Below are 12,890 nucleotides of genomic sequence, written 5' to 3'. Positions count from 1 at the left end.
ACATGTACTTTGATTTCTTGTACATTCTGTTGAATCATCTTTACAATATACTGATTCCCCCATTAATGAGCTAAGTAGAACTTTGAAAGCTATGCACTTCATATTTTTATGAGTCATGCTTTTAATGTTTAGAAGATTATACTTTGACAATGTAAAGCCTACACACTTATTGTGCTTAGTAACTGACTCCCAGTTCCAGAATGCTTGCTCCTTATCCATCCAAATCCTCCCCTTTTCTGTCAAATTTAGATGTAGGCTCACCTCTCCTCTTGATATCCACCCTGAATATTTCAGCTCATGCTCATCATTTTTTCTTAGAACTTCTAGAATATTCATTGGTTTTAATGACATAGTACTTTGAATTTTCTCTTATTGTCTTATGCATCTACCTCTCGCTCTATTTCCATCTTGATCTTGATCTCAATCTCAATTTTGCGATCCATCCATCTATCTTCTCCCTCCACTCCCCTGACCCCAAGGTGCTTAGACTAGCTTTGGGCACACAATATGTGTTCAGTAAATACATGTGGAATACAATTTAATTCAGCTTTGCAGATTAGCCTTTACTACAGCTTAGAATTCTCCTGATTTATATTTAAGTATCTCCAGTCAAAACAGAGAGGCATTGTATCCAAGAACGAGTAGCCTTCTGGAAAGAATAGTAGTGACTAGAAGATTCTGTTATCACACGAGGAGGCAAAATGTCTTCTGCAAGCCCAAGAATCCTAAGAGTTAACTTTAGAATTTGCCCACTTAGCTAAACCTCATTCCAAATGCCACTTTTCTAAAAAGCCAGCCCAGTGGCAATCTGTGCCTTCCCCTTTCAACCACAACTCTGTTTAATTTCAAAACAAGGGCAGATAAAATATGCTAATACACAGCAAGTCTCCCCATTGCTATTCATTGGGAAGTCCCTTTCCAGTGTGAAAGTCCAGTCTTCCGTGAATTCACAAACAAATGATTGCTCTTGTTACTGGCATTCCACACCGGTGATAAAACATGAGAGTGAATCAGCCTCAGCCTAATTGTATGAGTTTTCTTCTGGAAGGTGCTGTGCTTTTCGTCTTGAATCTATATGGAAATGCATCTGTGTGCACATGTAGGTTGTTTTAAAATAAGTGCACATCTATCTGTCGGGATGTTAATAGGAAATCCTCAGAGACTTCCATTTAGTGGTGCTGATGGTAGTGATGGTGGTGTGTTTTATAAGTTCAAAGTGTTTGCACTTGAGCTGTAAGAGTCTTCTGTAAGCAGTGGGCTGTTTAGCATACCATGTGGGCCACAGCCTCTGACATCTTTAGCTAGAAAAGCAAAGGGCTGGGAAAAGGAACACGATGGAGTACTAGCAGCCACGAGAGAGCAGGGCTGGAATGCTGGCTCTGACCACAAATTGGTACACGGAACTTGTGTTTTTCATTAGGGTTGCTGGAGTAATGCTGGTTTTTAGCATTCCAAAGGATATTCAGACTTATATCAAATTAAATTCTCCTTTAAAAATCACTCTATGTTGGAATAACATCAAGGATCAGACGGCAATCAAGAAAACTCAGGAAATATAAAACTAAACCTAGCTCTGGCTTTTTCTTATGCTGTTGGTATGAATGTACAGTGTACATTGTCCATGATTCAGACGGTAATCTGGAATGCATCTTACAGATGAAGTTTGCCTAGAGCTTTTAATTGACTAGTTAGCTCAAGTTTTCAAATATTATTTGTGGATTGTAGAAGACAACTCTGAGTGACCATAGTACATTTGTATGCCAGTGCAAAACAAAAACATAAGAATATGTTTCATATTGTGCATAAACACTTAAGTAAGCCATGTATTTGTTTATATATGCTTATATATCCATTTGCGTAATTTACAACTAAAAGTCCCAAACTGGCTAAAATCAAGCAGTTAAGGAACTTGTATCTTATTCTAAAATCAAGCTCTCACTATAAATCAATCCTGTCTTTCTCTTTCTCTCTCTCTGTTTCAAACACATACCCAACAAACATACACCCCACAACACATACACACACAAAATTTATGTGTGCACGTTGATGTTTCTAAGTTCCTAAATAAGCATATATATTAGTCAGATAGGCTTGGCAATGCTGCAGTAGTAGACAACCCCAAAGTCTCTGTAGCTCACCTGAAGTTTTCTCTCTCTGCTATAGCCCTCCATGAATATGGGCAAACAGTTGTCCTCCATGATTGACCTCTGAGCAATCCAGGCTACTTCACTCTTATGGCATTTCCATGTTAACACATGCATCCAAGACTGTAGCAACAAGGAAAGAATAGTCTAGGAAGTTAACCACAATTAACTACCATATGTTGTTTCCATGCACATTCTATTGGCCAGAGCAACTTGCACTGCCATACCTGACATCAAAGAGAGCGAGAAAGGACATCTTCCCATGTGTCTGAAAGTGGATACTGGTGACTAACAACAGCCTTATAGCATGATTAATGTAACCTAATGATTATAACTCAAAATCAATCAGGTAATAGCTTCCTCCCCCACCCATCTCTCTCTCTTTCCCTGCCCATTCTCCCTCTTTCTCTTTTACACACACACACACTCTCTCTCTCTACTCCAGGGGCATAAGTGAAGTTCTTCTGTTTTCTCCTGAAAATAGACTAATCCAGGTTGATTACAGAAGCCATCATGCCATTCTTTGCGGGTGGGGTATTGCAGTCTGTACCTTTCTACAGGAGTTTCACATCATATTAATATCTAGTCTTTACTGAGAAAGATTTTCAGGTCCTGTCCTGAGAGTTAGTTCTTAAGGAAAACAGAATTCTTTTCCTGAGTAGCAGTGAAAGAAGTGGGGGAGAAGGAAATGAATTAGCCCAGGATGGGATTGTAGGTGTTCTCCAAGCTAGACTCAAGAATTTCACAATATTGTTGCAGACCAATGATGCTGGTGTAGACTGACAAAATGTATTTTCAGTCCTGATGGCTGAAGGGATCAGTAGATGAGTGGGATGCATTAGGATTTCCAGGTTCTAGAAAGGAGGAGTCAGGGATTCCATTTACAAAAGCCTTTCTTGACAGTGCTTCTCCCCATGAAAACTAAGAGAGAGTAGAATGGGGTAAGGGATTGAAAAGTGGGGAGACAAGAGACCTTCTATGTCTGGGAAGACTTGCCCAGGTATTCAGCTGCACTACAAATAATGGCAAGTGCTTTTGGAATACACAAGGCCCTGTAAGATGTAACCCCTACATTCCTGTCTTCAGCATTGTCTTGGATCACTCTCCATCCCCTAACCACCTGCCTCCGAACTCTAACTTTCTACCGTGCTGGGCTTTGTTCTGTTCCTTGAGTGAGTAATTCTCCTTTCTGCACAAGGCCTTTGCATAAGCAGTTTCTTTGGCTAAGAATGCTCTTCCTCATCCCTTCTCACCTAAGTAATGCCTGTTCATACTTCAGATCTCAACTCAAATGCTACTTCTCACAGAAGCCTTCCTTGAACCTGAGACAAGGGCAGCACCCTCATTACCATATGTCTTTACGTGGATGGGTGTAGTGGTCTGAGTAATGCTTTTTTCCTTCTAGTCTATAAGCTTCATGGGGGATCATATCTGTTTTTCTCACTGTTTTATCTTTATTCTCTATCCCAGTCCTTTGAACATATTAGAAACTCAGTAAATATTTGCTGAGAAATATAGTGTTATAAAAATAAATGATTACAATCTCTAATATTTATATAAGCATATTTCCTAATTTTATACTCAAAATAGATGAGTTGAACAGTGAGAGATAGCCTAGGTTGTGATTCAGGAGCACAAGTGGACTGGTTTCCGTAGCTACGACTCTCTATTCAGTACTCTCACCTTGGAAAAGTCACTTATCTTCCCTCACCAGGTCTCATCCTTATGTAAAATTAGTGCTACATTCAATATTTATAAAGAGGTCCTACAAATAAAGAAAATAAGATACACACCAATAGACACATGTATGAACAGAAAATTGGTAGGAAAGGAAATACAAATAATTAAAAATATATTAAAAGAATATTAAAAGACCTTATTCTTTAGTGAAATGCAAAGGAAGCAGAATCACAAAAGAAATCACTTTGTAATTCAAATGTACAGAGGAAATGTTTCCTTTTCCTTTTTTTTGAGATGGAGTTTCGCTCTTGTTGCCCAGGGTGGAGTGCAATGGCGCGATCTTGGCTCACTGCAAACCCTGCTTCCCGGGTTCAAGCAATTCTCCTGCCTCAGCCTCCCGAGTAGCTGGGATTACAGGTGCCCGCCACCAAGCCTGGCTAATTTTTGCATTTTTAGTAGAGACAGGGTTTCACCGTGTTGGCCAGGCTGGTCTTGAACTCCTGACCTTAGGTGATCTGCCCGCTTTGGCCTCCAAAAGTGTTGGGATTACAGGCATGAGCCACTGTGCCTGTGGAAGTGTTTCTTTATTATAGAAAGTAATGTGGTCTTCTTCCAAGTCTCAGTCATTGAGCAGCAGGAAAAAAACTACATCATAAAATTTACTCCAGTCAAGTAACTACAGTCTAGGCTGATGCAAATTTTAAACAGTCCATTGCAATTTTGCTCAATGGCTTTAGGTAAAAATGCTGATGCTAGTGTCCCAGAGTTCCACTTACTTTCCTGGCTTCTCTACAAAATGACTATGGATGTATAAAGAAGCTTATTGGGTCTTAATAGTGTGGGGTTCAAGGGGAGGAAGCCCCACCTCTGTATGGGATGTCCCTGTAATGTCTTCTTACCCTGGGGCTTCTCTGTCCTGGCCATCTGTTTGCCAGTCTGATGCCAGAGTCTGTATATTATGATTTGTTTGCTGTTTATTGACTTGTTCATAGTGAGGTAGAGTCAAGGACTAGCTATAGCTCACTTAGGCTCCCATTGACCCTCCCTGTGTGTCTTTGCCATACCCTCCACCTGGACTCCTGGCCTGCTTCTAGCTTCTGCTGGTAGCCACTTTGCCAGGCCACAGCTGATCTGATGGCAAAATCTCTGTCTCCCAACTCAGCACCCATGCTACATGGGAACCAAGGGAGGCTCATTTTTGGGAGGCTAGCCCAAAAGATGACACCCTCAAGGCTACTAGTGTAAAAGCCTAGACTCATGGGGGACTATCCCGGAATGACCCAAAAGGGAGTAGGGATACAGGAACATAATTTTTCTTTTTTTTTTTTTTTTGAGATGGAGTTTTGCTCTTGTTGCCCAGGCCGGAGTGCAATGGCGTGATTTCGGCTCATCGCAACCTCTGCCTCTGGGTTCAAGTGATTTTCTTGCCTCAGCCTCCCGAGTAGCTGGGATTATAGGCATGCGCCACCATGCGCAGCTAATTTTGTATTCTTAGTAGGGATAGGGTTTCCTCCATGTGGGTCAGGCTGGTCTCAAACTCCCTATCTCAGGTGATCCTCCCACCTTGGCCTCCCAAAGTGCTGGGATTACAGGTGTGAGTCACTGCACCTGGACACAGGAACATATTTTAGGTTTAGTAAGAAAAAAAAAAAGCTGAAACTTGAAGAAAGAGGTGACATTTAGCTGGTCTTAAAAAACAGATATGCCCCTTTCCTTAGGGGTGTTAATGAAGACCTGGATTCCACTTTTTTTTTTTTTTTTTTTTGAGACAGAGTCTCACTCTTTCCCCCAGGCCAGACTGCAGTGGCACTATCTTGGCTTATTGCAAGTTCTGCCTCCTGGGTTCACGCCATTCTCCTGCCTCAGCCTCCCAAGTAGCTGGGACTACAGGCGCCCACCACCGTGCCCGGCTAATTTTTTTGTATTTTTAGTAAAGACAGGGATTCACCGTGTTAGCCAGGATGGTCTTGATCTCCTGACCTTGTGATCTGCCTGCCTTGGCCTCCCAAAGCGCTGGGATTGCAGTCGTGAGCCATCGCACCCGGCCTGGATTCCACTTTTATGCAGCACCCAGATGGGAGCTGAACCATGATTCTCAGGGTGGGACTGGGACTGCATCCCAAGAGCAGTGGCATTGAGCAATTGTAGTACATCTTTATGCCTACGTGTGCCCCAGAATCTTCAGGGAGTTGCCTGTCTTCAAGAGAGAGACAGACTTAAGCCATGAGGCTACAGGCAGACCAGCATGAAATAAAAATAGAGAGCCCTTCTAGAATTCTCTGGAAGGCATAAGCTCTAAAGTCAGTGCTGGTGGTGCCAAAGTGTAAGAGGGAACCCCAGTGTCTATTGGAATGAGTTCCCCGCCAGTCCAGTAAAGTAGAATTTAGAATAGATTACATTTGTTTAGGGAGAGAAAATAAATGTGTGGTATTTCTCTCGCTCTAATATGTGAACTAAAAATTTTACCCACACACAAGAATGTAAATATCTAAAGAGAGGTTAGGAAAGAGAAGGACTGGATGATTTTCAACAGTCACCTCTCCAGTGGGAATCTTAGAGAACGGTGGTGAAGGCCTTTCTGGTGTTTATTCTGTGTTTATTTGTAATGTTTAGCTCATTCACCACAAGACGCCATTCTGGTATTAGTTGCATCATAAGCACATACAATCAAAAGAGGATAGACCCAGGTAAGATCTAAGAGTTTCTGGCAGCTCTGCTACTCTCTGGTGACTTTCTCCATAGCCAGAAACAGGTGAGAGGGGCCCAGCTCGGGGCACCCTAACTGTTCACCTCCCTAGTCCTAACCCTCTGCTAAGCTTCACTGTTTGCCTGTGGTTCTTAACCCTGGCTGCCCGGTAAAATCGCTTCTGGGAATTTTTTCAAATGTCACAAATACATAGACCTCTTCCTCGGAGACTGTGAATTGATTGGTCTGGGGTGGGCCTGGGCCTCTGTATTTTTCAAAGCTCCTAAGTCACTCTAATGGCAACCAAAATGGAGAACCACTGCTAGATACTTCCAGGACATCCTAACCCAGCAAAATGTTTCCTGTCTCTGCCTTGGTCTGTGCTAGATCCTCTGTCCTGAATGCAGTCCTGAAATTTTGTCAAAATTTTTTCTGTCCTGGAAGTCTGTTTCCAAAACACACCTTCTCTGTGAAGATTTTGTCCCCGGCTGTTATCTTTCCTTGCTGAGAACTCTTGTTCTTAGCTTTGTTCATCTTCCTATATGATCTATATCATCTTGTTCAAAGCCTCAGTGGGTTTTGTCCATCTTCCTATATAATCTTTATTCTGGCACATTTTGCACTGTAGTCAGTTGGGCGTTTGCTTATATACAAGACTGTAAGTTCCCTGAGACCAGGGCAGGGTGTACTCCCCTTTGCCAGGTGCCATGGGGGATACATAGAGCTCTGTCCACAAAGAGTCGTGAGCCAGTCACATTGAAACTCCCTAATTATTTTAGCCAAACTACATCCACATGGACTAAATTAGATAAATGTTTGTGGGAAATGGGAGGATAAATGGATCATATTAGCTTTCAGCAAAAGCATAGCTCGTTACTTTTTTCCCGAGAATGTGTTCTGAAGAGCCACAATCTCCATGCACTTATTGTGGCCACTGGAAGTCAGATGGAGCCCATTGCTGCGATAGTATCTACTTGAATGTGGTGGGGGAGGGGGGCTGGGATTTAAGAATTCTGATTTCACCAAAATGAGCTCATAAATTAATCTCCTTAATGTCCTTCGGGAGGAAAAAGCACCCACAATTTTAGTCCAAAAAGTACAGGGAAAGCAAGTCCCAGAGAATATGTGAATGTCAGTTAAGTAGGAAAGGAGAGAAAAAATATATATTCCTTCCAAAATATGCATTCACATCATGCTGTGATTCCTGGAAATGAAAGTGCTAACGGGAACATTGCATAAAGAGATATTATTACATAGTCCACATCAGGATGCAAAGCTAAATTGCAAAAGCCTCTGGATTTACCCACCAGTTTACAGGAAACACAGGGACAGATAAATAGGTTAAATAACAAAATGGGTGCAATCAACAAAATCCAGACTGGGAAACTCGACAGGATGAATGATCTGGTTTTGTTACGGGATAAATTGCAAAGGTGGCAAAAAGAGATGGAGGAATACATTATAGGTTAGAAGAGACCTGAAGAGGCATTGCCAACTCATTGCAATGTATTGTCCTTATTATGATCCTGATTCAAACAACAAACTGTAAAGCAGAAGGCATTTAGGAGATGATTAGGGAAAATTGAACACTGAAGACATTTGATAATAGTAAGAAATGACTCATTTTTACAGGTATGATAATAGTATTATAAAATTTAAATAAAGAGGCAAATATTTATGTATTAGAGCAACAATTTAGAGTGAAAATTATGATGTCTAGATTTGCTTCAAAATAATACTGGGATGAGTGAGTGAGAGAGGGAATAGATGAAATGAGGGTATAGATGCTGTGAGTTCATTGTTGAATGAGTACATGGGGGGTATTCATCAGGGTTCTCCAGAGAGATAGAAGCAATAGAATTACATATCATGTGAGCCAACACAGGCATATGAAGACTGAGGAGTCACATGATCAATGGTCTGTAAGCTGGAGTCCCAGGAAAGCTGGTGGTGTAATTTAGTCCGAGTCCAAAGGCTCAAGAACTGAGAACACCAGTCTGAGAGGGCAGGAGAAGATGGATCCCAGCTTAAACACAGAGAGCAAATATACCCTTTCTATGCTACTCCTTTTCTTCCACTCAGACTCTCAGTGATTTGAATGACACCTGCTCACACTGTGAGGGTGGATCTTCTTTGCTCAGTCTACCTATTCAAATTCTAATCTCTCTGGAAACATCCACACAGATGAAATTACAAATAATATTTTACCAGTTATCTGGGCATCTCTTAGCCCAGTCAAGTTGACACATTCAAATTAACCATCACATGTTATTTATTATATGATTCTCTACTTCTGTTACATTTTACAAAATGATCTAAAGTATGAACAAAAAGATACGAAAATATATGACAATAATTTAAATATAAGTGAGTTACCAGTAAATTCACACAAGCATCATATTTAAACAGTATCTGGGAAATGATGAAAACTGTCAAGATTACCCAACCTGTGTCCCCTTGCAGTCTCTAAGGGATAAAGCACTGCCAAGGTTATAATGGAAGAAGCAGGGCAGGAGGGTGGAGATAGAGGTTTTTGTTCAAAAAAGTGTTAGACTTGGTATGTAATTAGATGTATTGCCTTAAAAGTGGATTAAAATGGAAACTAGAGTTTCAGAATTTAAGCAGTTTGCCTCAGGCTAAAAACACTGCCTGAGAGTGAAACACAAGCATCTGGAGGTTACAAAGGGAAAAATGGAGGTTTTATGGATTTTCAAGCCTACTGGAAATTAAAAGGGGTAGGGAAGAGATAAATCAGGTGAAAAAAAAATCACTTGAAAATTCCAAATCAGAGGATAAGAGGGTCACAGTGGAGCTCCTTGCCCAGGGTCTACACTATCTTGCCCCATGATGGGGGCCCTCCATAGACTGGTGAAGTGGTGATTGCTGTTCCATGATGACACCGGCAAATAATAGTTTTTTTCCCAATTCTCACACCCAAGCCAGCCCTCACACCTATGATGGAGTGCAGAGAGACTAAGAAAAGCCACATACAACACACACACATACACAATACATACACACAACACACATATATACAAAACACACACTTACATACCTCTCTATTCACACTGAACATTAAAAATGGACCTGTTTCAAAGTGTATGTAGACAGTTAACACAGGCATCCTATCTAAACTGAGACCTTTTAAGGACCCAACAATAAACTAGTTTAATCATCATTATTAATCATTATTATTGATAAGTGTGGGCTGTGCTGGTATGTAAGCATAACAACATACAAAAGGGCTCTTGTACGGCCCTTGCTGTTCTACTGTGCTACACCATATTTGTCTCTACAGAAAAGTAGAAAGCCAGTCTGGATGTTTCCCAGGGGCTCTATTTCTTCAGCTTAGTCATGCATGGAATATGAGAGGGAACTCATAATCCACCTCTGTATATGAATTTGCGGAAAGTGAGAAACAATTAGAGAAATAATGATTAAGATGAACACCAAGCTGAGATGGAGCAAGTCCAGAGGAAAGGGAAGTCAGCCTGGTTTAATGTCAGGTGACTTAAAATGCCTTCCTCCAGCCTTGGAGTTTCTTCTATCCTGGCCTGTTCTCACAGCAGGTGGGCATCAGTTGTACCGGTCAACAAGGATTGTCTCAGGAAAGGGTTATTACAGGAAGACGGATTTTAAAAAGAAAACTGACTCTGAGTGACTCAGCGAAGAGAAAAAATTTATTGGGTCACTGCATTGGCACCTGCCCACACACACATCTTTAAGACAGAATCCCCCAGAACTGCAGGGAGTGGGAAAGGCAGCTAGAGAGGATGAGTGAAAAGAAAGACATTGAGCCCATGAAAAATCACAGAAATGAGAGGGCAGGGAGCATCAAAGACCACTTAACTTCACCTCAACCATCATCCGGGCTGACGTCTGGGCTCATCTGCAGTCATAGCCAGCTGTATTGTGCAGGTTCCATGCCAAGGATCTGGCAAGATTCTTCCTTCTATAGTTGCAGAACCTCAGGAAAACCTCAGGAATTAGAGGACCAAGAATGTCTAAAATGTAGGAGTCGGGGGAGGGATGGGAGTCTTGGTTGAAAATTAATATGAAAAGCAGCCAGACATTGAGATAAAACTGACAATGTGTTAGTATATCTTTGTAAGAGTTTGGGGTGGCTTCTTAAGATATCTAAAACAATTCTTTAAAAAGTTAACCCTAAAAAAACAAAATCTCCTACAAGAAGAGAATGTACTCTTAGTACTGTAGGTGATGTGACTCAATGCCAATAATATTTACACTGCTAGAAAAACACAAGCGATGAAAGTCTATTTATTTAAAATAAAAGTAACAGAATTATATTGGGAAGAGAATGGGTCATATTGTAGGAAGGTGGGGAGAGCTAACTCCTTGCCTTCCATAGCATGAAAACAATGAATCCTTACAACTGACCAGAATCAAGGAATAGCAGGATTCCAGCCGGCTGTTTAAAATATGGACATAAATAACACAAGAAACACTAAAAGTGGTTGGATGTGATTGCCTCTGGGAAGCTAAAATTGAGAATAGAAAGCATGAGGCAGGAATGCTGGATTTCTTTCTTTTTTGGAAGGTGAGGGAGGTTATATTTGGCCTTCTAAGCCACGTACATATATTCCTTAGATAAAAAAATTGGCCGGGCGCGGTGGCTCACGCCTGTAATCCCAGCACTTTGGGAGGCCGAGGCGGGCGGATCACGAGGTCAGGAGATCGAGACCATCCTGGCTAACACGGTGAAACCCCGTCTCTACTAAAAATACAAAAAAAAAATTAGCCGGGCGAGGTGGCGGGCGCCTGTAGTCCCAGCTACTCGGGAGGCTGAGGCAGGAGAATGGCGTGAACCCCAGGGGGCGGAGCCTGCAGTGAGCCGAGATTGCGCCACTGCACTCCAGCCTGGGCGACAGCGAGACTCCGTCTCAAAAAAAAAAAAAAAAAAAAAAAAAAAATTAAAATTAAATTTGAAAAATATAAAGTATTTGTGTATTATTAGATGATGGTACTAGTGATCAGTTAGCTCTTCTCACTTTGAGAATCTATGATCATCTATCAAAATATGTAAAAAGCCTCCAGCATTGTACCCAGAGCAGAGGTGCTTGGCCATTGTCGGTTCCCAAAGCTTCCAGATTCAAATATATTTGCCTTCTTTGAGAGTGACTTTGTCTATTGAGGAGCTGATTTCATTTGTGCCATGAAAACTCTGCTTTGGTGCTCCAGTTGAACTTTGTGTTTGTGTGGTTGTACCTGAATGCTAATACCATTTTCAATTAAAAAAACTTTCAACAACAATTTTGTCATTGAGGCACAGCACACACACTGAAATACACCAGTCCTGAGTGCATAGCTTGATGAATTTTCTCAGAGCGAACACACCCATGTAATCAGGACTCAGATCAAGAAACAGAGCATTACCAACAGCCCTACCAATCACTATTGCCTCTGTCATCTTCAAAGGTGACTGATGTTTTAAATTCCAAACCAAATACAGTATAGTCGGTCATCCATAATTGTTGGTTCTGCATCTTCAGATTTACCCAATTGTGGATCAAAAATATTGGTAAAAAAAGACAATAAAAAATAACAATACAACAATAAAATAATACAAATAAAAAGTAGGGTATAACAACTGTCTACATAGGATTCACATGTGTTAGGTACTTGTAATATAGAGATGATTTAAAGAATATAGAGAATGTGTGTAGGTTACATGCAAATACTACACCATGTTATTTAAAGGAATTGAGCATCCTTGTGTTTTGGTATCCAAATGGGGTCCTGGGACCCATCCCCCACACATACAGAGGAACAACTGCATGTATTCTTTTGTGTCTAGACTTTCCCTCAATAGTTTGCTCATGCAATTCATCAATTACCATGTACCACAATTTATTTATTCATTCTACAGTGAATAATGCTGCTGTGAGCATTCTTGAACATATCTTTTGATGCATTTATATTGGGCAGATACCTAAAGGAGGAGCTGTTATATTCAGCATTGGTAGACATCATCAAGTAGGCTTGCAAGGTGATTTTTCTCAATTTGCAGTCCCAATAGCTGTATATGAGAGTAGCCACTGCTCCACAATTTTGGCCACAATTGCATTGTCAACTTCAAAAATATTAGGCATCTTGGCGAATGGTATCTCATTATGGTTTTAATTTGCATTTTCCCTTTGACTGAAAAGTAGAGAAACTTTTCATAAACTTTATGATTTTCTTTAAAAATTTTATTTTCTTGACTTGGTATTTATGGTGCTTCTTGAACATGACCCAGTATCTATTCAGTTTTGAGAAATTTTCAACCACAACTATTTTAAATACTACCTGTACCCAACTTTTTTCATCCTTTCCTCCTGGGATTCCAATAACTTATGCATTAAACTTTTCTACCACGTCTC

General features: G+C 40.8%; 1 annotated feature.

Annotated features, from left to right (window-relative positions):
• Positions 3,174-3,468: a silencer, noted in NCBI's record as "tiled region #9207; HepG2 Repressive non-DNase unmatched - State 24:Quies". NCBI's record gives its function as "represses a minimal TATA promoter and a strong SV40 promoter by Sharpr-MPRA in HepG2 cells {active_cell/tissue: HepG2}" and the evidence as "EXISTENCE:reporter gene assay evidence [ECO:0000049][PMID:27701403]".

The sequence above is a fragment of the Homo sapiens genome, chromosome 9 (assembly GCF_000001405.40).
Source record: "Homo sapiens chromosome 9, GRCh38.p14 Primary Assembly".
In the NCBI taxonomy this organism is placed as follows: Eukaryota; Metazoa; Chordata; class Mammalia; order Primates; family Hominidae; genus Homo; species Homo sapiens.
Note: the sequence above shows the minus strand (reverse complement) of the source record. Positions and strands in the feature narration are given on the sequence as shown.